Consider the following 22,404-nt stretch of genomic DNA (forward strand, 5'->3'; position numbering starts at 1 on the left):
TGTTTATTTATATAATACATAAACGGAAAAAGCTATAGTAGCCATACATCCTAATTATGACTTGTAGATGATAATTTCTAGATACTCTCCTACTAGAAATGAATGTTTAAAAGTCCTAAGAGGACTATTTTATTTATATATGCACTCGTGTTCACCTTATTCCATATAATGTATGTGGTTATTGACAATCTGGGAATTTAAAGGTGCAGCCCTCAAGAAACTGTTAAATAACTAAAAAAATAAACAATTGGGCTCTATGGTTGGACAAGGAAAACACTCACAAAATTTCCAATTTAAAATTTCATATCAGTAGGAAAATATTAAAAAATAGTTTTCTGTATATATGTATGGATATATGTATATATTGAATTCTTCATATATCTCATGTTATCAATACATTTTAAGTCAAGACATTTGGTTGTGCTGTTTTTCTGGCTAATAACCAATATGTCAGAATATAAAAATATTTTGTTACATCATTAAAAAAATCCATTTATCATTTCAACAGCTTGTACTGTGTTTTAAAAAATTTTATACTTTTCATAACTAAATTCTCTGATTTCTAGTGTTTAAATCCCCTATTTAAATTGAAACCTGGGGCTTTTTGTTATTCAGAAACTGATGAATAAAATCAAATCTACTTCAAAATTCCATTGATCAAATAAATTTTATTACCTGATTTATCAGTAATATATCTCAGCTCTGAGCATATGTATTTAAATTATTCTCCCTGTAATAAATAGATGATGAAAATATTCTAAACTAGATGGAGGTAGCATACATGATGTTGTGATGTGGCAGCAATTACCCAGTGATACACGTGAGATTCTACTCTACTTCCATTACTGATGGTGAGTAACATAGGCACGTCCCTTATTCTCTCTCGTCTCCTAGGAAGTTTGAGACTAGAAGATCTCCAAGGTCCTTTCTAACTCTAAAGTTCTTAAATCCTTAACTTTCCCATTCTTTCATTCTTTAGCAAATATTTGTTGAGCTCCTATTATGTGCCTGGCAGTGCTCTAGGCATTTAGGGTACATAAATAAGCAAAACATACAAAATCCCCTGCTTTTATAGCATTTATATTACAGTGAAAGAAACAGGCAGTAAGCAGAAGATGTAATAAGTAGGTTGGGTAGTATCTTTAAGGATTATGGAACAAAGTTGTATTAGTCCACTTGTGTTGCTAAGAAGAAATACCTGAAGTTGAGTAGTTTATAAAGTAAGGAGGTTTGTTTTGGCTCACAGTTCTGTAGGTTCTACAGGAAGCTGGGTTCCAGCATCTGCTTCTGGTGAGGACTCAGGAAGTTTCCAATCATTGTAGAAGGCGAACGGGTAGCAGGCAATGTCACGTGCTGAGAGCAGGAGCAAGAGGTGGAGGGAGGAGGAGGTGCCAAGCTTGCTCTTTCTTTTTATATTAATTTAAATTTTTATTTTAAGTTCCAGGGTACATGCGCAGGATGTGCAGCTTTGTTACATAGGTAAATGTGTACCATGGTAGTTTGCTGCACCTATCAACCTATAACCTAAGTATCAAGCCCAGCATGCATTAGCCATTTTTTCTAATGCTCTCCCTCCCCAACCCCACTCCCCACAGGCCCCAGTGTGTGTTGTCCCATTCTTTGTGTCCATGTGTTCTCATTGTTCAGCTCCCACTTATGAGTGAGAACATGCAGTGTTTGGTTTTCTGTTCCTGTGTTAGCATGCTGAGGATAATGGCTTCCAGCTCCATTTATGTCCCTGCAAAGGACATGATCTTGTTCCTTTTTATGGCTGCATAGCATTCTATGGTGTATATGCACCACATTTTTTGTACCACATTTTCTTTATCCAGTCTACCATTGACGGGCATTTGGGTTGATTCCATTTCTTTGCTACTGTATGCACATATGCATGCATGTATCTTTGTAATAGAATGATTTATATTCCTTTGGGTATATACCCACTAATGGGATTGCTGGGTCAGATGGTATTTCTGGTTCTGGATCTTTGAGGAATCGCCATACTGTCTTACACAATGGCTGAACTAGTTTACATTCCTACCAACAGTGTAAAAGCATTCCTATTTCTCCAGCCTCTCCAGCATCTGTTGTTTCTCGACATTTTAATAATCGCCATTCTGACTGGCATGAGATGATATCTCATTGTGTTTTTGATTTGAATTTCTTTAATGATCAGTGATGTTGAGCTCATGTGGCCAGGCTTCTTTAAACAACCAGCAAGAACTCACTTATTACTCAGAAGAGGGTATCAAACCATTCATGAGGGATTTGCCCCCATGACCCAAACACCTCCTACCAGGCTCACCTTTAACATTGGGGATCACATTTCAACATGAGATTTGGAGGGGACAAACATCTAAACCCCATCAAAAGTAAAGTAGCGTAGGAGGATTGGGAAAGCTGGGTAGGACTTCATTTTTACAACCATGGAGGTCAGAGTGGGCCTCATTAAGAATGTAACTTTGAGCAAACATTTGAAGGAAGTGGGGAGGTGGGCCATGCAAATACAGGTGTCAGAGGGAAAACATTTCAAACAGAAAAAGTCATGTGAAGCTGTAAGTCAGGAGTGTTTCTAGCATTTAAGGGGGTTGGCAATGTAACCTTATGCTAGAGCATAAGGAGGCAAAGAGTAGTGAGAAGATACAGAGGAAATGTGTAGGGGAGACAGAGCTTGAGAAAACGTCTACACCATTGTAAAGACATTCTTACAATGTGTTTGTGGCACCCAGTTCTAGAAAACTATTACTAAATTAATTCTAAAGTGCCCCCTTTGATAGATTAATGTACCTGGTACTTTGATCATTCTTGCCTCTAATTAGGCAAAGATGTTTGGTCTCTAAAGATTGAGTTGGGGAAAGTAGTTGATGTTAGCAAGGTTAATGATGGTATGCTACTGATTTTATTTTAAAGTCCAAAATTAGAGATAGAAAGCATGACAGAGAGGGAGAGAAAAGGAGGGTGACTAAATGTATTAACGGAACAAGTGATTATTTTAATAATTTCTTTAATTGGCATTGAAATTGATGAGACATTTGTGTTTTTCCAACTAAGGCAACTCAGTAAACCAAAGGAAATAAGGAAAATTCTCTCACCAGCGCTATCATTTCTGTACTGTGTATTTTTAAAATTTACTTTTAAACATTAAACAGCTTTATTATTGGAGCAGTTTTAGGTTTATAGGAAAACTGAGTGGAAAGAACAAACAGTTTTCGTATAATATAATCCCTCTCAACTTACCCTTGTCCTACCCAGTTTTCATCCATCATTAACATCTTCCATTAGTATGGAACATTAGTTACAATTGATGAGCCAATATGGAGGCATTATCATTAAAGTTTATAGTTTACACTAGGGCTTACTCTGGGTTGCACATTTCATGGATTTTGACAAATGTATGACCTATATCCATAGTATCATGCAGAGTAGTTTCACTGCCCTAAAATTCCCCTTTGCTCCACCTATTTATCCCTTTCTCCCCCAAAACCCTTTTTTTTACTGTCTCCATAGTTTTACCTTTTCCATGAATTCACATAGTTGGAATCATACAGTAACTACGCTTTTCAGATTGACTTATTTCACTTAAAAATATACATGTAAGTCCCCTCTCTGTCTTTTCATGGCTTGATACCTCATTTACTTATTGCAGAATAAGATTCCATACTATGGATGTGCCAGAGTTCGTTTATTCACCAGTTCAAAGACATGTTAGTTGCTTCCAAGTTTTGGCAATTATAAATAAAGTTGCTATAAACAATCACGTGCACATTTAGTGTAGACATAAACATTCAGCACATCTGGGTGAATATCAAGTAGTACAGTTGCTGGTTCACATGGTAAGAGTATGTTCAGTTTTGTAAGAAACTGCCAAACTGTCTGACAAAGTGGCTATACCAGTTTGCATTCCCACCAGAAGATAACCTCCTCTGTTATCTTCTAATGTTTCATAGTGAATGAGAGTTCCTGTGGCTCTATATCCTCGGGAGTGTTTGATAATGTCAGTGATTTGGAAATAGCCATTTTAAAAGATGTTTAGTGTCATCCCATTTTTGTTTTAATTTGAAAATCCCTGATAACAAATGAGTTTGAGTATTTTCTATATGCCATTAGCCATTTGAATAGATTCTTTAGGGAGGTTTCTATTTAGATGTTTCATCCATTTTTCTCATCAGGTTGTTTATTTTCTTATTTTTGAGTTTTTAAAGTTCTTTATATATTTTGAATACCAGGCCTTATCAGATATGTGTTTTAGAATATTTTCTTTGGTCTCTAGCTTGTCTTTTCATTCTCCTAACAGTGTCATTTACATAGAAGTTTTTAATTTAACAAAGTCCAACTTACCAATTTCCCATTTATGGTTCCTGGTTTTGGCAATATATGTAAAAACTCAGTGCAACACCCAAAGCCACTAGATTTTCCCCTATGTTATCTTCTACAAGTTTTATAGTTTGCAGTTGACTTTTAATTCAATGAATAATTTTGAGTTAATTTTGGTAACACATGTATACTCTGTGTCTAGATTCTTTTTTTTTTGTTTGCTTGTTTGTGGGTGTAGTTGTTCTGCATTATCCTTTCTGCATTGGATTGCCTTTGATTCCTTGTCAAATATCAGTTACTTCTATTTGTGTGAGTCTGTTTCTGGGCTCTCTATTCTATTCCATTATCAGTGTGTCTATTCTTTCACAAATACTACATTGTCTTGATTACTATAGCCTTATATGATGTCTAAAGTCTGGTAGTGTCAGTTGTCTGGCTTTGTTCTTCTCCTTTAACCTTGTGTTGGTTATTCGGAGTCTTTGACTTTCCTTTTAAACTTCCAAGTGAGCCTCTCAGTATCCTCAAAATAACTTGCTAGGACTTTGACTATGATTGATTGAATCTATAAATTAAGTTGGGAAGAACTTACATCTTGAAAATATTGAGTCTTCCTCATGAAATAACATCTATTTATCTATATTTGAGATTTTTCATCAGTTTTGTAGTGTTCTTCATAGATATCATGTACTTTTTTGTTAGATTTATAAATATATATTTCTTTTTTGGTGCTAATATAAATTTTATTGTTTTAAATTTTGAATTTCAATTGTTCATTCCTGCTATATAAAAAATAACTAAATTTGCATATTATTCTTGCATCCTGCAACTTTTCTCTAATTGCTTCTCACTTCCAGGAAGTTTTTTGGTTGATTATTGGTTGATTTTCTACAGAGACAATCATGTCATCTATGAACAGTTTTATTTCTTTCTCAATTAGTATGCTTTTTTCCCCCCTTTTTTCTATTATTATGCTACCAAGGACTTCCAGTATGATGTTAAATAGGAGTTGTGAGAGCACACATCCTTGCTTGTTCATGATTTTAGTAGGAAAATGGCTAGTTTTTCACTATTAAGGATGATATTAGCTATAGGTTCTTCGTCAATATTCTTTATCAATATGAAGTTCCCTTCTATTCCTAGTTCCCTAACAGTTGTCATCATGAATGGGTATTGCTTTTCATCATATTCTTTTCTGCATGTATTGATATAATTATTTAATGTTTATTCTGTAGCTTGTTGATATGATGGATTACATTAATTGATTTTCCAATGTTTACTGGCCTAGCATACTTGGAATAAATCCTACCAGATCATGGTATATTATTCTTTTCTTCCATTGCTGAATTTAATTTGCTAATACTTTTTGAGAATTTTTGCATCTATCTTCATGAGAAATGTTGGTCTGTAGTTTTCCTTTCTAGTAATGTTTTTGTCTGGTTTTGTATTATGGTTTTGTTTTGAAAGGTTATTAATAATTGATTGAATTTCTTTAATAGATATAGGTGTAGTCAGATTATCTGTTTTTTCTTGTGTAAATTTCAGTAGATGTGCCTTTCAAGGAATTGGTCAATTACATCTAGATTATCAAATATATGGTATATATTGTTAATAATATTTTTTGGCTGGGTGCGGTGGCTCACACCTGTAATCCCAGCACTTTGGGAGGCTGAGGTGGGCAGATCACTTGAGGTTAGGGATTCGAGACCAGCCTGGCCAACATGGTGAAACCTGTCTCTACTAAAAACGCAAAAATTAGCCAGGCATGATGGTGGGCACCTGTGATCCCAGTTACTCAGGAGGCTGAGGTGGGAGAATCGCTTGAACCTGGGAGGCAAAAGTTGCAGTGAGCCGAGATAGTACCACTGCACTCCAGCCTGGGTGACAGAACAAGACTCTGTCTCAATAATAATAATAATAATGATGATAATAATATTTTTCATTACCCTTTTAAAATTCATGGGATCAGTAGTGATGGTTCTTTTGTCATTTTCAATATTAATGCTTTGGGTCTTCTCTCTTTTTTTCTCAGGTAACTTGGCTAGAGGTTTAGCAATTTTATTAGTCTTTTCAAAGAATCAACTTTTTATTGATTTCCAGTTTTTCTTACTTTAAACTATATGCATTCAATGCTGTAAAATTTTCCTCTAAGCACTGCTTCACTTCATCCCATATACTTTGATTAAGCATATTTTATTTTTAATTTTTAATTGAAATAGAATATTTTAAAATTTCTCTTGGAACTTCGTTGACCTTTGTGTTATTGGAAATTGTGTAGAATTCGTGTGTGAATCCACCTGGTCAAAGACTTCATGACTAAAACACCAAAAGCAATGGCAACAAAGACCAAAATTGACAAATGGGTTCTAATTAAACTAAAGGACTTCTGCAAAGCAAAAGAAACTATTATCAGAGTGAAGGCAACCTAGAGAATGGGAGAAAATTTTTGCAATCTATCCATCTGACAAAGGGCTAATATCCAGAATCTACAAGAAAGTTAAACAAATTTACAAGAAAAAAGAGAAACAACCCCATCGAACCATGGACAAAGGATGTGAACAGACACTTCTGAAAAGAAGACATTTATGAGGCCAACAAACATATGAAAAAAAGCTCATCATCACTGGTCATTAGAGAAATGCAAATCAAAACCACAATTATATATACTATCTCACACCAGAATGGTGATCATTAAAAAGTCAGGAAACAACAGATGCTGGAGAGGATTTGGAGAAATAGGAATGCTTTCACACTGTTGTTAGGAGTGTAAATTAGTTCAACCATTGTGGAAGACAGTGTGGTGATTCTTCAAGGATCTAGAACCAGAAATACTATTTGACCCAGTCATCCCATTACTGGGTATATACCCAAAGGATTATAAATCATTCTACTTTAAAGACACATGCATGGCCGGGTGTGGTGGCTCACGCCTATAATCCCAGCACTTTGGGAGGCTGAGGTGGGTGGATCACAAGGTCAAGAGCTCAAGGCCATCCTGGCAAACATGGTGAAACACTGTCTCTACTAAAAATACAAAAAATTAGCTGGGCGTGGTGTCAGGCACCTGTAGTCCCAGCTACTTGGGAGGCTGAGGCAGGAGAATCACTTGAACCCAGGAGGCAGAGGTTGCAGTGAGCCAAGTCTGCACCACTGCACTCTCCAGCCTGGCGACAGAGTGAGACTCCATCTGAAAAAATAAAATAAAATAAAAAATAAATAAAGACACATGCACATGTATGTTTATTGCAGCACTATTCCCAATAGCAAAGACTTGGAACCAACCCAAATGCCCATCAATGATAGACTAGATAAAGAAAATGTGGCACATATACACCATAGAATACTATGTAGCCATAAAAAAGGATGAGTTCATGTCTTTTGCCGGGACATGGATGAAGCTGGAAACCATCATTCTCAGCAAACTAACACAGGAACAGAAAACCAAACAGCACATGTTCTCACTTATAAGTGGGAGTTGAACAATGAGAACATATGGACACAGGGAGTGGAACATCACACACTGGGGCCTGTTGGGGTGGGGGATAGGGGAGGGATAGCATTAAGAGAAATACCTAATGTAGATAACGGGTTGATGGGTACAGAAAACCACCATGGCACGTGTATACCTATGTAACAAACCTGCAGGTTCTGCACATGTATCCCAAAACTTAAAGTATAATAAAAAAATGATAATCATACTAAAGGAAAAAATAAAAATAATTTCCTGACTATGCATAATTAAAAATCTATCTAATATATCTAATGACAATTTGGGAATTGGGCATTTGAGAAATAAAAATAAAATAATTTATAATAAAAAGAAAATTGTGTAGTATAATATCAAACAGGATTTTTCAGCTATCTCCCTGTTATTGACTTCTAGTTTAATTCCATTGTGTTCTAAGAGCATACATTGTATGATTTCTATTCTTTTAAATTTGCTACAGTTTGTTTAATAGCTCAGAATGTTGTCAATCTTCATAAATATTCTGTGTGAGCTTGAGAAGAGTGTGTATTCTGCTGTTTCTGGGTGAAGTACTTTATAAATGTAAATTAGACCCAGTTGATTGATGCTGTTAAGTTCAACTACTGCCTGACTGGTTTGCTGCCCTCTGATCTGCCAATTACTGAGAGAGGAATCTTGGCATCTTTAACTATAATAGTAAATTCATTAGTAAATTGGCAAGTATTTCCCTTTGCAATTCTGTGAGCTTTTGCCTCAAATGATGCTCTGTTGTTAGGTGCATACACATAAATGATTGCTACGTCTCTTGAACATTATATAATGCTATACCAGGCCATTTGGGCTGCTATAACAATGCCTTTGACAGGGTAATTTGTGAATAGAAGAAATTTTTAAATGGGGTTATGATTAGGTCTCAGTCTTTTAGCGAGACTGTGCCCTGAGTTGTGTCCTTTACAATTGCCTCTCAGCATTTTTTTTTTCTTTTTTCTCCTTCTTGGATGAAACAAGAAGGCTGGAATGCCTGGAACTGGTTATTTCCCTTCTCCCCCATGGAGAACTAGAGGGGATGGGGTTTTATATTTTCCCTCCTATACTTTTGTTAGGCTGTGGTACGCTGCAGTCAGTTAAGCTCTCTTTAAATAGTTTGCCTTAAGGGCAGGCCTCACTGACAAGAACAGAATGTTCTTGGTATGTTTCAAAATAGCTATTTCCCCTCTCCTACCAGAAACAGAAGGGAATGTTCCTCTGATCTTCATTATAAGAACTTGATGGGGCCAGGCGCAGTGGCTTACCCCTTAATCCCAGCACTTTGGCAGGCCAAGGTGGGTGGATCACAAGGTCAGGAGTTCAAGACCAGCCTGGCCAAGATGGTGAAACCCTGTCTCTACTAAAAATACAAAAATTAGCCAGGCGTGGTGGCGGGTGCCTGTAATCCCAGCTACTCAGGAGGCTGAGGCAGAGAATTGCTTGAACCCAGAAGGCGGAGTTTGCAGTGAGCCAAGATCGCGCCACTGTACTCCAGCCTGGGCAACAGAGCGAGATGCTGTCTTAGGTAGATAGATAGATAGATAGATAGATAGATAGATAGATAGATAGATAGTTAGATAGATAGATATCTAGATAGATAGAGAACTTGATGAGACTTCTGGAAGTAAAACTCATGAAACTCTGGGTGTCCTCAAAAGAGTTCCTCCCCTCAACCTTCAGAGTATTTAACTTTCAAACTTATTCACCCTGAGCCTCCAGCAGTTGATCAATTACAGTTTAGGATTTTCTACCCTTGTCTTAGTTCCTGCAGGAGTACCTTTCCCTGGTCTTCTGTTCTAGTACATTGTGGTTCCATGTGTCCCCCTCTTTCTTTCTTCAGTTTTAGAGGCAGCAGTTTGTCCTATGACCTCAATTCTCTAATGCAGGGGTATCCAAGCTCTGGGCCCATGGCCTGTTAGGAACCAGTTTGCACAGCAGAAGGTGAGGGGCAGGTGAGCGAGCATTAACTTCTGAGCTCCACCTCCTGTCAGATTGGTGGCAGTGGCGTTAGATTCCCATAGAAGCATGAACCCTACTGTGACCTGTGCATGTGAGGGACCTAGATTGTGTGCTCCTCATGAGGATCTAACTAATGCCTGATGATCTGAGGTGGAGCAGTTTCATTGCAAAGTCACTTCCCCTGGCACCCCATCCGTGGAAAAAATTGTCTTCCATGAAAGGGTCCCTGGTGCCAAAAAGACTGGGGATCACTGCTCTAATGGATCTAAAAATAGTTGTTGATTTTCAGTTTATTCAGCTTTTTTTTGTGTGTGAAGACTGGATCAATGATTTCCAGTTCCTTATATGCTGAACCAGAGACTGCAAGTCTGTGCTGTGTACAGTTAATGGATTGTTTGATCTCTCTATATATCTGTAATTCTGAAGCTATAGAGGGCAGTTATTTGGTCTTACCCTACAATCATACATCACTTAGGAGACATGACAGAAAATATGGGAATGAGCTAAATTTTCATTAATATCAGTAGCATTGTTGTTATGTCCATCCTGTATCAACTTACCTTAAAACCTGTAACCTCTTCTCTTCAAGGGAAATTTTCCTATTACTTTAGATTTTTTTCTTTCTTCTTATATATGATTTGAGTGTTTTCAAACTAACCCATAGGCAACTATGCACTTCTAATGATTAAGCAGTAACTCACTTCATTGCTTTGCCTCATCAGTGGTAATTAAAGAGCAGACCCCTTTTAGAACAGCTGAGTGTAGCTGGGGCCAAGAAATGTCATATTGTCCTCTCACTGATGCATTTCACACACTGGTTTTAATAAGCTACATACCTAGTGAAATGCATGCGGTGTTTTTCTTAGCCAAAGGATTTCACTCAGAGACTTCAAGTCAGTGCCAGTGACCTGCCTTCAACATTGCAGGCACCAGGAGTGTTTGGAAACTGCAGGAGAGGAACTTCAGGAAAAACTCCTAATCATTGTCTTTCAAGGCCTTATCTGGCCAACCTAGATACATGGACATTGTTGAAGTAGATGGTCTCTAATACACATCTGATATAGGTTGGATGTCCCCTCCAAATCATATTGAGGTGTAATTCCCAATGTTGGAGGTGGGGCCTGGTGGGGTCTTGGGTGTGGATCTCTTATGGCTGATAGTGAGTTCTCACAAAATCTGGTTGTTGTAAAGTGTGGCACACCGCCCGCCTCCGGCACTGTCTCTCTTTTTCCTGCTTTCCCCATGTAATGTGCCTGCTCCCAGTTGGCCTTCTGCCATGAGAAAAAGATTCTTGAAGCCTCCCCAGAAGCAGTTGCTGGTGCTGTGCTTCCTGGAGAGCCTGCAGAACCATGAGACAGTTAAACCTCTTTTCTTAAGTTTTACCCAGTCTCAGGTATTCCTTTATAGAAATGCATGCATGGCTTAATACACCATCTATTCTGGAACTTAACACTCATATTTTGTATTACCTCTTCATATCTGTTGTTGAATGTTTTCCTTCAAAGGAGTCTTCATTAAAAATAAATGCTGAGGAGTTTCTTCATCAAAAAATTTAACATAGACTTAATTTGATAATATTATAATAGTTATATTTAAATGACCTGATTTTGGTCTATCTATGTTTAAATTTAGCAAGTTCTCTTTAAGTTTTTAATGTTCTACATTATAAGCAGTAGCTTTGATCATAATATAACCTTTGTATATAACCTTGATGATAACATAAACTCTACTATAATTTAATATTTTTGTATATTCTTGGAATCCATATTTTATGACAAAAGTTATGCTAAAATTATTACTTTACATTATAAAATGTTGACAGTTAATATATTACTGGGTCTGTGTTTGACTAAAGTTTAAAAAATATTAAAATAGAAATAGGCAAATTCATCCAGCAGTTAATTTTTAGAAAGCTATTTCAAATAATTATTACTGTGATATGAGTTGCCGTTTTAGTTAAGTATGTTTAATAAATGTAAAATTAGAAACAAATGACATTAGAATTAATTATTTTTCAAGGAAGTTAGCCATTGTGGTTTTTCAAAATTATCAACATTTAAAAGTTATTAAAATTACTTTGCTGAGAGTTATCACAAAGACACCCTCAGAATACAATAATATCATTTCTATTGAAGGACAGAAATATATGCTATAATTTTAGTTGTTAGTGGGCTTCTCATTAGACATAATGAATAAGCAATGTTATGAGTTCCTAAGTAATACTCCTAGTTTTCTCATTGGCCACAGTGGCTATGAAAACACTTGACGTAACATGTAATTATTCAACTTAATATACTGGAGGTATTATAAATAACATGTTACTAATGAAATAACCTACAAACTGGCCAGAAATTTCATTGAAATAAATAGTGAGTTAGTAAAGTTGACCAGAATTAATTGGGATTAGTGGTAGGGTCAAATAATGGGGTAAGATGTGTTGACATGTATTGGAGAGTTTAATGTTCATGACATTGGGGAGGGAAAGTCATGGTGTGGTTTTGAGAAGTAGAGTAGGAAGAGAATGGAACGAAAATGAATTTGACAAGAGCATGTAGGATTGAAGATTAAAAAGACTGAATGCAGAGAGAAAAATAAACTGTAAAACCAATAAAAATAGACACATTAATAAATAAATATATGCTGAGGTTTGGGGAAAAACAAAGTGTTACAGTTACATTTTCATGTAATTTGTAAACTAATTTTGCCAGGAAGAAATTACAAAATAAATATAATAAAGCCATTTCTTTTTAAGTTATTGGGATGTAAACCAAGATTTGTGTAAAAATCAGAGTTCACTTTAATTAGGTTCTGTATAGTATGCTCTATTATCAACAAGTTGAATTAGAAACTTCACATCTTTTTATTTTTAATTTTTAAGAAATGGAAAAGTAATTACATAAACTTGTAAACCAAGTATCCACCAGATCCTGGAGCTGAAGATTCTTTGGGATGAGTGCTTACGTGTCAGACTGGAAGTAGTCAATGGATCCAAATTCCCTTCTGATTGAATCTTAGCTGCTTTTGTTAATTAAAGGATCAACATTAAAAGTAATTTTTTGCTTGAGAAATGTCTTGAGAAGCTTCTTTTCCAAAATGTCCAACTTGATATTAGGGTTAAAGTCTCACATTTCAGGTTTCCAAACTTTGGGCAAGTTTTAAATTTTTCTTTAGTTTATAATCATCTTGATTTATTTTTGTTTTGTTTAATTTCCATTAACATCTCGATTTCTGAAATTGATCTTAGATTTCTTTTGTACTTGGGGACACTAGCAGCATTCTTATCTTCTGTCTCTGGAATATTTGGTGATTCTTGCTAGTATTTCTGCAATGACAATTTAATATCATAAAATAAGATGACTGTTATTCTTTCCTTTTTATAGAATAAATTTTGGATATATATTTTTTATTTATTTTTTGAGACACAGTCTCCCTCTGTTGCCCAGGCTGGAATGCAGTGGCATGATCTCCTCTCACTGCAAACTCCACTTCCCGGGTTCACGCCATTCTTCTGCCTCAGCCTCCTGAGTAGTAGCTGGGACTACGGGCACCTGCCACCATGCCTGGCTAATTTTTTTTTTTTTTTTTTTTTTTTTGTATTTTTAGTAGAGACGTGTTAGCCAGGATGGTCTCAATCTCCTGACCTCGTGATCTGCCCGCCTTGGCCTCCCAAAGTGCTGGGATTACAGGCGTGAGCCACCACGCCAGGCCATATTTTATAGGATAAGTTAACTGTAGCTAAATTTTGACACTAAGAAAACAGTGACACAGTAAGATTTTTTAGTAAGAGGGAGGTCACTGGAAAAATGTACTATTGCAATAGAAGAAAATTAATATCCATGTGTTTTCTTTTCTCTGGGTCTTATTTTTCCCATGTGAAAAAAAGGGTTGTATAACTGATGCTGAAGTATACCATAAGCCAAATATAAATATATAGAGATATATAGATAGTATTTTATATATATATATCTGTATATGGTATGATGTTTAAATATTGCTATATTACCAAATTATATATAACGTTGGTATCTGATAACTATAAAATTTAGGTGCAAAAAGAGAATATAGAAATATAACTCTTTAATCTTAACTTTTTTCTCAATTATAGAATGTTTTAAACAGCACTAGAAAATGCCATATGTTATTTTTTTAAATTATTTGTACTGATAAGCAAAAGTACTAGAATCTAGCATGTATGTTTGTTGGTTTCAAAGCTAACTCTTTCTGTTTCCTTATTTCTTGCATTTGTTAGTCACTGAACTATTAAAAAAAGTGGTGAATATCAATGTTAGTTCATCCAGGAAGATTTTCTGTCTTCAAAATGTTAAAATATTTTCTGCACATTACTGTGGTTTTTAAAATGACTTCTATAATCTCATATTCATTTATCATATTCATGTATCATGAGGGTCCTCTTTTTCTGCAGTCACACAACCTTAGTCTAACATAGACAAAGTTCTTTAGCAATAAAAAAATTTGTGTTTATATCTCCTCCAGCTTTTTAAATGCTTAAGACAGTTACGGTTTTTTTTAATTATGTCCAGTTTGACGTACAGAAGTTGATGACAGAAGCAAATAAAGGTCCTACTAACCCAGGAAAATATAACATCCATTGGCTCACTTTATAACCCACAATTTCTACAGATAGAAAATACAATAGTCAATGTATTGAGCTGTTACATAGCCAGAGATTTCATTCTTTCATCAATCATCTGGATGTCCTGATACTTCTAATATCCAATCATAAAAAGTTATTTTTTAATGATTTTTAAAGGTGTATACCATTGAAGAATCGGGGCTAAACATCCTGGTGTGGTCAGTGATTGGAAATAAAAGAACGGGATGGACATATGGCTCTGTGCCTCTCTCCAGTAACAGTCCGTTTAAGGTGGCATTTGAAGCTGATTTGGATGGAAATGAGGACATCTTTATTGCTCTTGATGACATCTCTTTTACCCCAGAGTGTGTGACTGGAGGTAAGTGATTCTTTCAGAAAATGGGAATAAGTATTTGTTTTTAGTATCTAAATATACTAAAGATTTGGGAATTTCTGAGGAATTACATTTATTTCTGGGTCCAGTTCTATTTACACATGGAAAAGAGTCACATATACTAAGAAGTAAAGTTTCTCTGCCTATGAACTTCGCCATGAAATTTTCATGTCTTGTAGGCAACAAAATAACTTTGCACTAAAGTTGTTTTAGAAACCCTGAGGAAATTTTGTTCGGTGAATGTAGCTTTATTTTCTGCTTTCCTTATTCCCAAAGGTTCACAAGAACTGCACAAGGCAAAGGCCCCTGTGGCTACCTATTATCTTCCAGACTGTCTTCTCCATCTGTATTAAGCTTTTCCCTTCCCCAGGCCACGTTCCTTCTCCTAACCGTTTCTATTGTACAAGCTAGAATGCTCATTCTATTTCAAAAAGAAAAAAAAAGTTCTATTCTAAACACCTTTTCTAAAAAAGTCACCCCTTTAACTGAAATCTGAATTTCTACTGTTTAAGATGTTCCCCCCCTAAGTGGGGCTGTTTGTTCCCTTACTGAGTCTTCCATTTAAAATATTAAATAGTAGGGTCATTGTCTTTCTAGCTACTCAATGCCTCTTTAAAAGTGGTTTTGTTGTTGTTGTTGTTGTTGTTGTTGTTTTTTCCTAACACTCCTACTCAAAGTTTCTTTTCTTTTAAGGCCACACATCTGAATTTTTGTTCTTCTCATAGTTTTTCTCTGGATTCAAAATCCTGGGCAATTTCAACTTCAGGTGACACACCCTATCTAAAACATCAACTTCTTTGAGTCTAATAACCAGTGTGAGCCTGCTTCCTCAGGAAGTCACTCCCATGGTTAACATTCAGGGCCTGAGCATCCCCTTTGAAATCTTAAGATTAAAAATCTCATATAATCACCACTTTCTCATCTTCATTACTCCTCCTAAACCCATTTTCTAGTAACATTAATAAGAAAAAAATATATATTCTAGATCATCAAGGCCTCCTGGTTTTTGGGGTTCCATAAGCAGCCTCTTACTTTTTCCCCCAATAATTATAGATTTAATGATAACACCTTATCCAAATCCATTCGCATTCAGAATTTTGAATTCTATTATGTTCTATTTCTTAATTTTTTCACACGAATTTGAATAGTATGTGCCAGGCGATGGGCTAAGCATTTTGCACATGTTAGTACATTTATTTATCGGCACACCTCTGTAGATTCTAGATACATATTCACATAATAATATGAACAGATTATTCAGCTCAAATTCTGCCATAATGGCTTTATGATAAATAAACTTATTTACAATAAATTATGATTTATTTACAGTAAGTAAATCTATTATTGTAAATATATTCTAGATCGATATTCATATAGTAATAAGAATAGATTATTCATCCCATATTCTGCCATAATGGCTTTAATCATCTTTGCAATTGAGGTCATATAACCATCTGAATTTTCCAAAACTGCTGCTGGTCATGCTAATGGGGACCACTAAATATGCTGGTTTATCACCTTAGCTAGGCCTTTTAGGGTCCCAGATGCATGAGTTTCTCATTTCCTGGCACCAATTTTCTCCAGCAATTCTCAAATTCTCCCATTTCTCCCTGGCATGTTCTTTACTTTGCTGGTATTTTTGTGTCCTTTGAATAGAATAAAGCCATTTTGTGATAAATTCCTTTAATTTTCTCATTTTCACCTCCAAATGGGCCTTCACCTGTCTCCAAACTCTTTTTCTCACCATTTATCTCAGGAAAAAAAAATCTCCATCTTCCCAAGCATGAATATATATTTTTAGAACATTTGCTTTCTCAACTTCTTTCAGCCATTGCTCCATAAAAGTCTTCTGCAGCTCATGTCTTCAATACCTCTTCTTCCAGTCATTCTTTGCTCTGTCTTTTATATATATATTCCATAATATGTATATATATTATAAAATGTATTATTATATATTATATTATTATATATTGTTAATATTATTATATTATATATTAGTAACTTATATATTAACATGCAGTCCATATATAGAATTCCATATTTATCATTATATATAATTATATATATACTGGAATATATATTTATATATATTTCTTATATATATTATTCCATATGTATATAATGGAATAATACATAATTATATGTATTTTACTAATTTTGAGCTCCTCAAGAGCCAGAGAAGCTTGAGAGCTTGTATTTCATCTCCAAATTCTAACATAGGGCCTAGGAAATGTAGCCTAAGAAATTACTGTTTTTCAAAATAACATACTAACAATGAAAACTGATTGTGTGAACAACAACCTAACATTCACTAAAGTATAAAGGTTCATCTTTCCCAGTGTGTTATAGAACAGACTTTCCTGTCAAGGACGATTTAAAAACAAAACAAAACACTAAGACCTTTGGTATTAAACCTTGAACTTTGTCATTTTGTGTAATAAACGTACCTCTCCCAAGCCCCATTCTCTCCTCCAAAATCCAGAGTCTTAAGGCATAGCTTCTACAGCACGACTTCATTATTGATTCAGGCAGATGCTTTTAGAAAATCATAAATTAAATCAGTACTCCTCAGACTGGGGTATACAGATATCCACAGCAATGTCTTAGGGATTATGCAATACCGTGAAATAAATCTGATGTAATTCATTGGGTTTATTTGAAGATTTGGCAAGAAAGGTTAAGTAATTTATTATGTGACATTTGAAGTAAACTCAAATCTACTATAGAGGGGAATGTCAAAGAGAAAACAGAAAGCTTTAAAGAAATGTGATCCTTTAGCACTATTACTAATATCCTCTTCCCTGTGGTTTGTGGCACTATGGTGGAAAATTTTGAGAGGTGCCTAATACATAATTTAGGCATTGAACACCTATGTCATATAATAGCCAATATGCGTAATATATTGGTGAATGTGAAAGTTATAACCAATGCAAGATCTAAATAATACAAGAGTCTGTTGTTAAGTGTAGAAAATGGTAAAGAAAAGTGTGAAACCAATTTTAATAAGATATCCATCACAAAAGATATCTATGTATAAATCCTGAAAGATATACAAAATATAATATCTGTCTCTGAAAAATAGAAATATGAATTATTTTTCTTTTCTTCATGGTATTTTTCTTCCATATTTTTAAATGTCTTCTTAAAACTGTGTTGTTTGTAATTGGGAAAAAATAATGATGTTACTTTATCAAGTAAAAGTATAAAGTCATGATACATATAATTATTAGAACCACATATTTTGGGTTAATTGTTGTTTTAATCTTGCCCTAAATGAAGTTATTTGTTGGAATTATTATAGGGAACTATTGCATAGATGGATTTATTTCTATTACTTTGAGTCTTGTGTTTTTCCAATAGTTATTCCTGCTAATAATAACTCATATCTGTGAAACTTTGTGAAATGTGAGAACAGATTATAATTAGCTCTTCTTACTTGCCAAAGTTAAGGAACATCAGGCAGAATAAACATTATGAGTGAGCTGTTCTGCTAGTAGTTCAGGGATCTGATGTTTCACTGTTCTGGAGCAAATGTTTATCCTGTGTAAGAAAGAGTAATCTAGAATTAGTTTTGCCTTAGCAGTTTTTCTTCCAGTTGCCTTAACTTTCCAAATAGCAGCCAACGAAGTCAGACAGAATTTTTAGATGTTCAAGAAGGAAAAAAAAAATAACAATTATATATATGCCTCAGAGACATTTGGTAAAAATTATCTTTGAAGTGTTAGTACTTAGCAAGGAAAACTTCATTTCCCAGAAATGCTGGATAAAGGAAGCATTCTTTTTCACGTAAAATTTAAAATAGGTCAAATTTTGAGACATTCCTCTTTAAAGTTTTTATTTTGTAGGCTAAAAATCTACAGAATATGTTGCAGTTTTCCAATGAAATATAGTTGTTAAAAAATGCAAGAATTCTGATAGTACAGGACCTACCACAATGAATGTTTACTGAATAAAGCAAGAAACAGAAATTAAATAGATTTTTTTCAGTATTCATTTATGTGTTCATACTTCAGCCCTTAGGAAATGTGAAAAAGTCTATACCATTAAAACTACTAGCTTTGTTTGTCTTTCCTTAGTTAACTCAGATGAGACACAAATGAACCAAGGCGCCTGAATTAACAGATAATTTTCTTAAGATCTTATAACAAAACATCCAGATTTGTATGTTGAACCTGCCAGCTTTCTGCTCAGGTCCAGATTAACATCCTACGATGAAAAATGGCAAACTCTCAACTTCATTTCAACCTCGTATTAGGTGTTTTGTTGTCGTTTTTACCACCACCACAAACTCCCATAATCAGAAGGAATATAGAACAACATTTGTCACCCCAAGTTACCTGCAGTTTTCTTTCCATGTAGAAGATTCCACTAAAAACAGCAGTCCTATCCCCCACCAACCTTTACCTTCCGCATTATTACTTCTCTGTCCTACCTTAATTCCTTTAGGTTTCCCAGGGCAACATTTTGTAAATGAGACAAACTTGATGAAATAGAGCGTCTCCAGAAATTCTGAGTCAGCAGAAGAGTGTGTTTATTTGTATTGCATCTGTTTTCCTTAGCCATGTGAGTTTCCAAGAGAGAAATGTGTTTTCTGTTTTACTTCTATCATTTGAAACAAGGAGGATCTCATCTGTCTCCATGAGGAAGAAACATTTGACAGCACTGTTAGGACATTGATACTTTTAAAACTATATGCGAGGTTGTAAAATATTTGAAACAACAACGGCTTGAAAATACTGTGCATTTCTACACAGTTTTGTCAGGAGTTTAATAAGGTGGCAAATACCAATAGACACAACCCTATGGAGATTGCACCATAGCTAGGAAGTGGATTATTTCCATAGAGAAGTTGGCTGGTATACTGGGTAGAATAGTATCTCCTCAAAAATCCATGTCCTTTGCAAGACCTCAGAATGTGATCCCATTTAGAAATAGGGCCTTTGTAGATGTAATTAAGATGTAAATTAACGGCATTTTGAAGTACGGTGGGCCCTAATCCAATATGACCAATGTCCTTAGAAGAAGAAGAGGAGAAAACACACAGAGAGTACCATGTAATGAAGGGGGCAGAGATTGGAGTAACTCATCTACAAGCCAGGGAATGCCCAACATGGTCAGCTAAAAAGAAGCTAAGAGAAAGGAGTGGAGCAGCTTCTCCCCAGAGTCTTCAGAGAGAGCAGGGCTCTAGCAATACTTTGAATTCAGACTTCTGGCCTCCACAACTATGGAAGCATAAATGTCTGGTGTTTTCAGCCATCCAGCTTGGGATACTTTGTTACTGCGACCTTAGAAAACTAATACAATTGGGAACATTGAACTCTATTTTATAGTCAAGAACTGGGTGCAGATGTTCATTACACACTGCTTCCTGATTTGCTTTCTGTCTCTCTTGTTTGCTGTCTGGGAAGGGACCCCACTGAGCCATGAGCTCTGGATTCTGTACAGTGGGCAGATGACATGGACCATGGCACGTGTTCCTTCTGGATCCTGCCCCAGGTCAAGGTGGTTGGAAACTCTCCCTGGCCCTGGAAGCCATTAAGGCTCAGACTCACATCACCATGGCCCTCTCCTAGGAGGGACTCAAGGCTGGCATGGCTCTGCATGGCAGGCATGGTGGATCAGGGCACCTACCCAGCTCAGCCAGCCTCTGGTGCCCCTTCCTCTGAGCCAGGTGGTGGCAGCAGCCCTGGGCAGAAGAGACAGCAAGGAAGTGGTCTCATGGAAGCCCAGTGGAGCAGAGACATGAGGAAATAAATCACATTTCATCCAACTTTAGGCAGGAAAAGCAGGGATTCGCCGCCTCCCTCATTTTCTTTCTCTTCCCAGAACAATCATTAAACTTTTCCCATGCTCAGCCACCCCTTTCCCCCTAAAAAAGAAAAAATTTTCCTTACGCTTACTACTCATTGGACCTGATTTTTCTCATTCATGAAATGATTATTGTCAGGATTTAGGAATATGCCTTTCCTAAGAGTTGCATTAACCACTTCACGCAAATGAGGAATCATTTTGAGAAACCTAAGAATAATTCTTAAGTGACCTAATATGTCACTTAATATTCTCCATTGAAACATGCTGCATCTGAAACTCCCTTAAATAAATACAATAAATAATGAGGTGCTACAACATGTTCAAACCCTGAGAAAACTCCAGTTTGGGAGATTAACATTATGGGCACTTATTCCCCACCCACCCTGACTAGGTTTTGTTGTTATTGAATTGAAAGAAAATAGACCTTCGGAGAGTGAATGCATATTGTAAAGAAAAGAAATGTCATCATAGGGCATCCTTTTTGTCTTGACTTGATAAATATAAGTTATTGGCAAATAGCAAGGTGCCAAACAAAATAAAGAATAAAATTCTTAAGAAAGTCAAGGGGAATAGTACAAATTCTGCTTCACTGCTGAAAAATAATAGCTCTCACTTCGTTAATGAATAGAGACTCCCATTCTTCTCTGGTATCTCTAGGCTTGAATAGCAAGTCCAAGTAACTATTTTCAGATGTAATCTCTTAAGCATAAATTATTTAAAGGCAGAGATCTTTGTCAGTTGTGTTCAATGGTGTATTCTATATGCCTGGATGAGTTCCTGTTATGCAGTAAGCATTCAATAAGTATGTTGTATGACTAGAGAAATATGTTGAATGAAGAGATGATTAAGTAAAAGTCACTATCAGATGAATTTATATGTTATATGGCACCTCTCTCTTCATACTCACCAGTGACCTCAGCCTCCAAAGTTGTTCTCAATTTCATGTGTGGGGAAAAGAGAGATCGCGAACAAGAGACAGGCAGAGAGAAAGAGAGAGAATGAATTTTGTGAATAGTCTAGCAGGCTCTGTGTGGTGTATCAAGTGATAGAAAGAGAACCACTGGAATGAAATTTTGGAGAGCTTGGTCTAAACTATGGCTGTACCATACTTGTACAATTTTGAGCAAATCATTTAAACTCTCTAGACCATGTTATGTCACCGGGGAAGTGAAATAGATGATTGCTTAAATCCCTTCTAACTCTGCCATTTTATGATTATATGATACTGGATTTGGAGGAGAGGATTAGGGAAACAGAAGGCACAGGGCATGACATGGGAGAGGAGAAAGTTCAGAGAGAATGAGGAGGGAGTTAAAGGAGATCTGAGAATTAGGGCAGCGAGGTAAAAGTAGAAATGTCATTGCAGTTAGATGCAGAAGACTTCTCACTACTGGGCGTGTCTTTGAATTTAAGTTTGCCATTCATTCAGTCAATACTTGTTGAAAATCTATGTGGTGCCCTTGAGTTGGATTGGAAAGACAGGTAGGAATGTAGTAGTGTCTACAGCTCTCAAGGAGTTTACAATCTAAGAAAATACTGCTATAATGATGCATACTTGAAAGTTTAAAGTACAGTTTGTCCTTAAACAACATGGGTTTGAATTGCCCCGTTTCACTTATTTATGGATTTTCTTCAACCAAATGCAGATGGCAAATGCAATACTCATGGGATGCAAAACCCACATATACAGAGGACCAACTATTGGTATAAGCAAGACCCAGTAGGGCTAAACAAACCCCCAGTTTGTGGCATTTGCCTATTTCTTTGGTGTAAATACTCCCAGCATGGTTGATTTCAAGCTGTGCATGTGACATCACTGAAGGTGATATTAAAAATAAATGC

General features: G+C 35.8%; 1 protein-coding gene across 10 annotated transcripts in view; it reads left to right on the forward strand.

Moving 5' to 3' along the window:
* MALRD1 (MAM and LDL receptor class A domain containing 1) overlaps positions 1 to 22,404 on the forward strand; it is a 687,552-nt gene that overhangs the window by 506,041 nt on the left and 159,107 nt on the right. For 9 of the 10 annotated variants that reach the window (XM_011519453.3, XM_011519455.3, XM_011519454.2 and 6 more), the window contains one exon: positions 14,535 to 14,736. In XM_011519453.3, the coding sequence (XP_011517755.1) occupies positions 14,535 to 14,736 (202 nt within the window). Of the gene's footprint in view, positions 1 to 14,534; positions 14,737 to 22,404 lie in introns of those variants that run through there. The other variant, XM_047425167.1, reaches the window with a different exon arrangement.

This window comes from Homo sapiens, chromosome 10 (genome assembly GCF_000001405.40).
Source record: "Homo sapiens chromosome 10, GRCh38.p14 Primary Assembly".
Taxonomy (NCBI): Eukaryota; Metazoa; Chordata; class Mammalia; order Primates; family Hominidae; genus Homo; species Homo sapiens.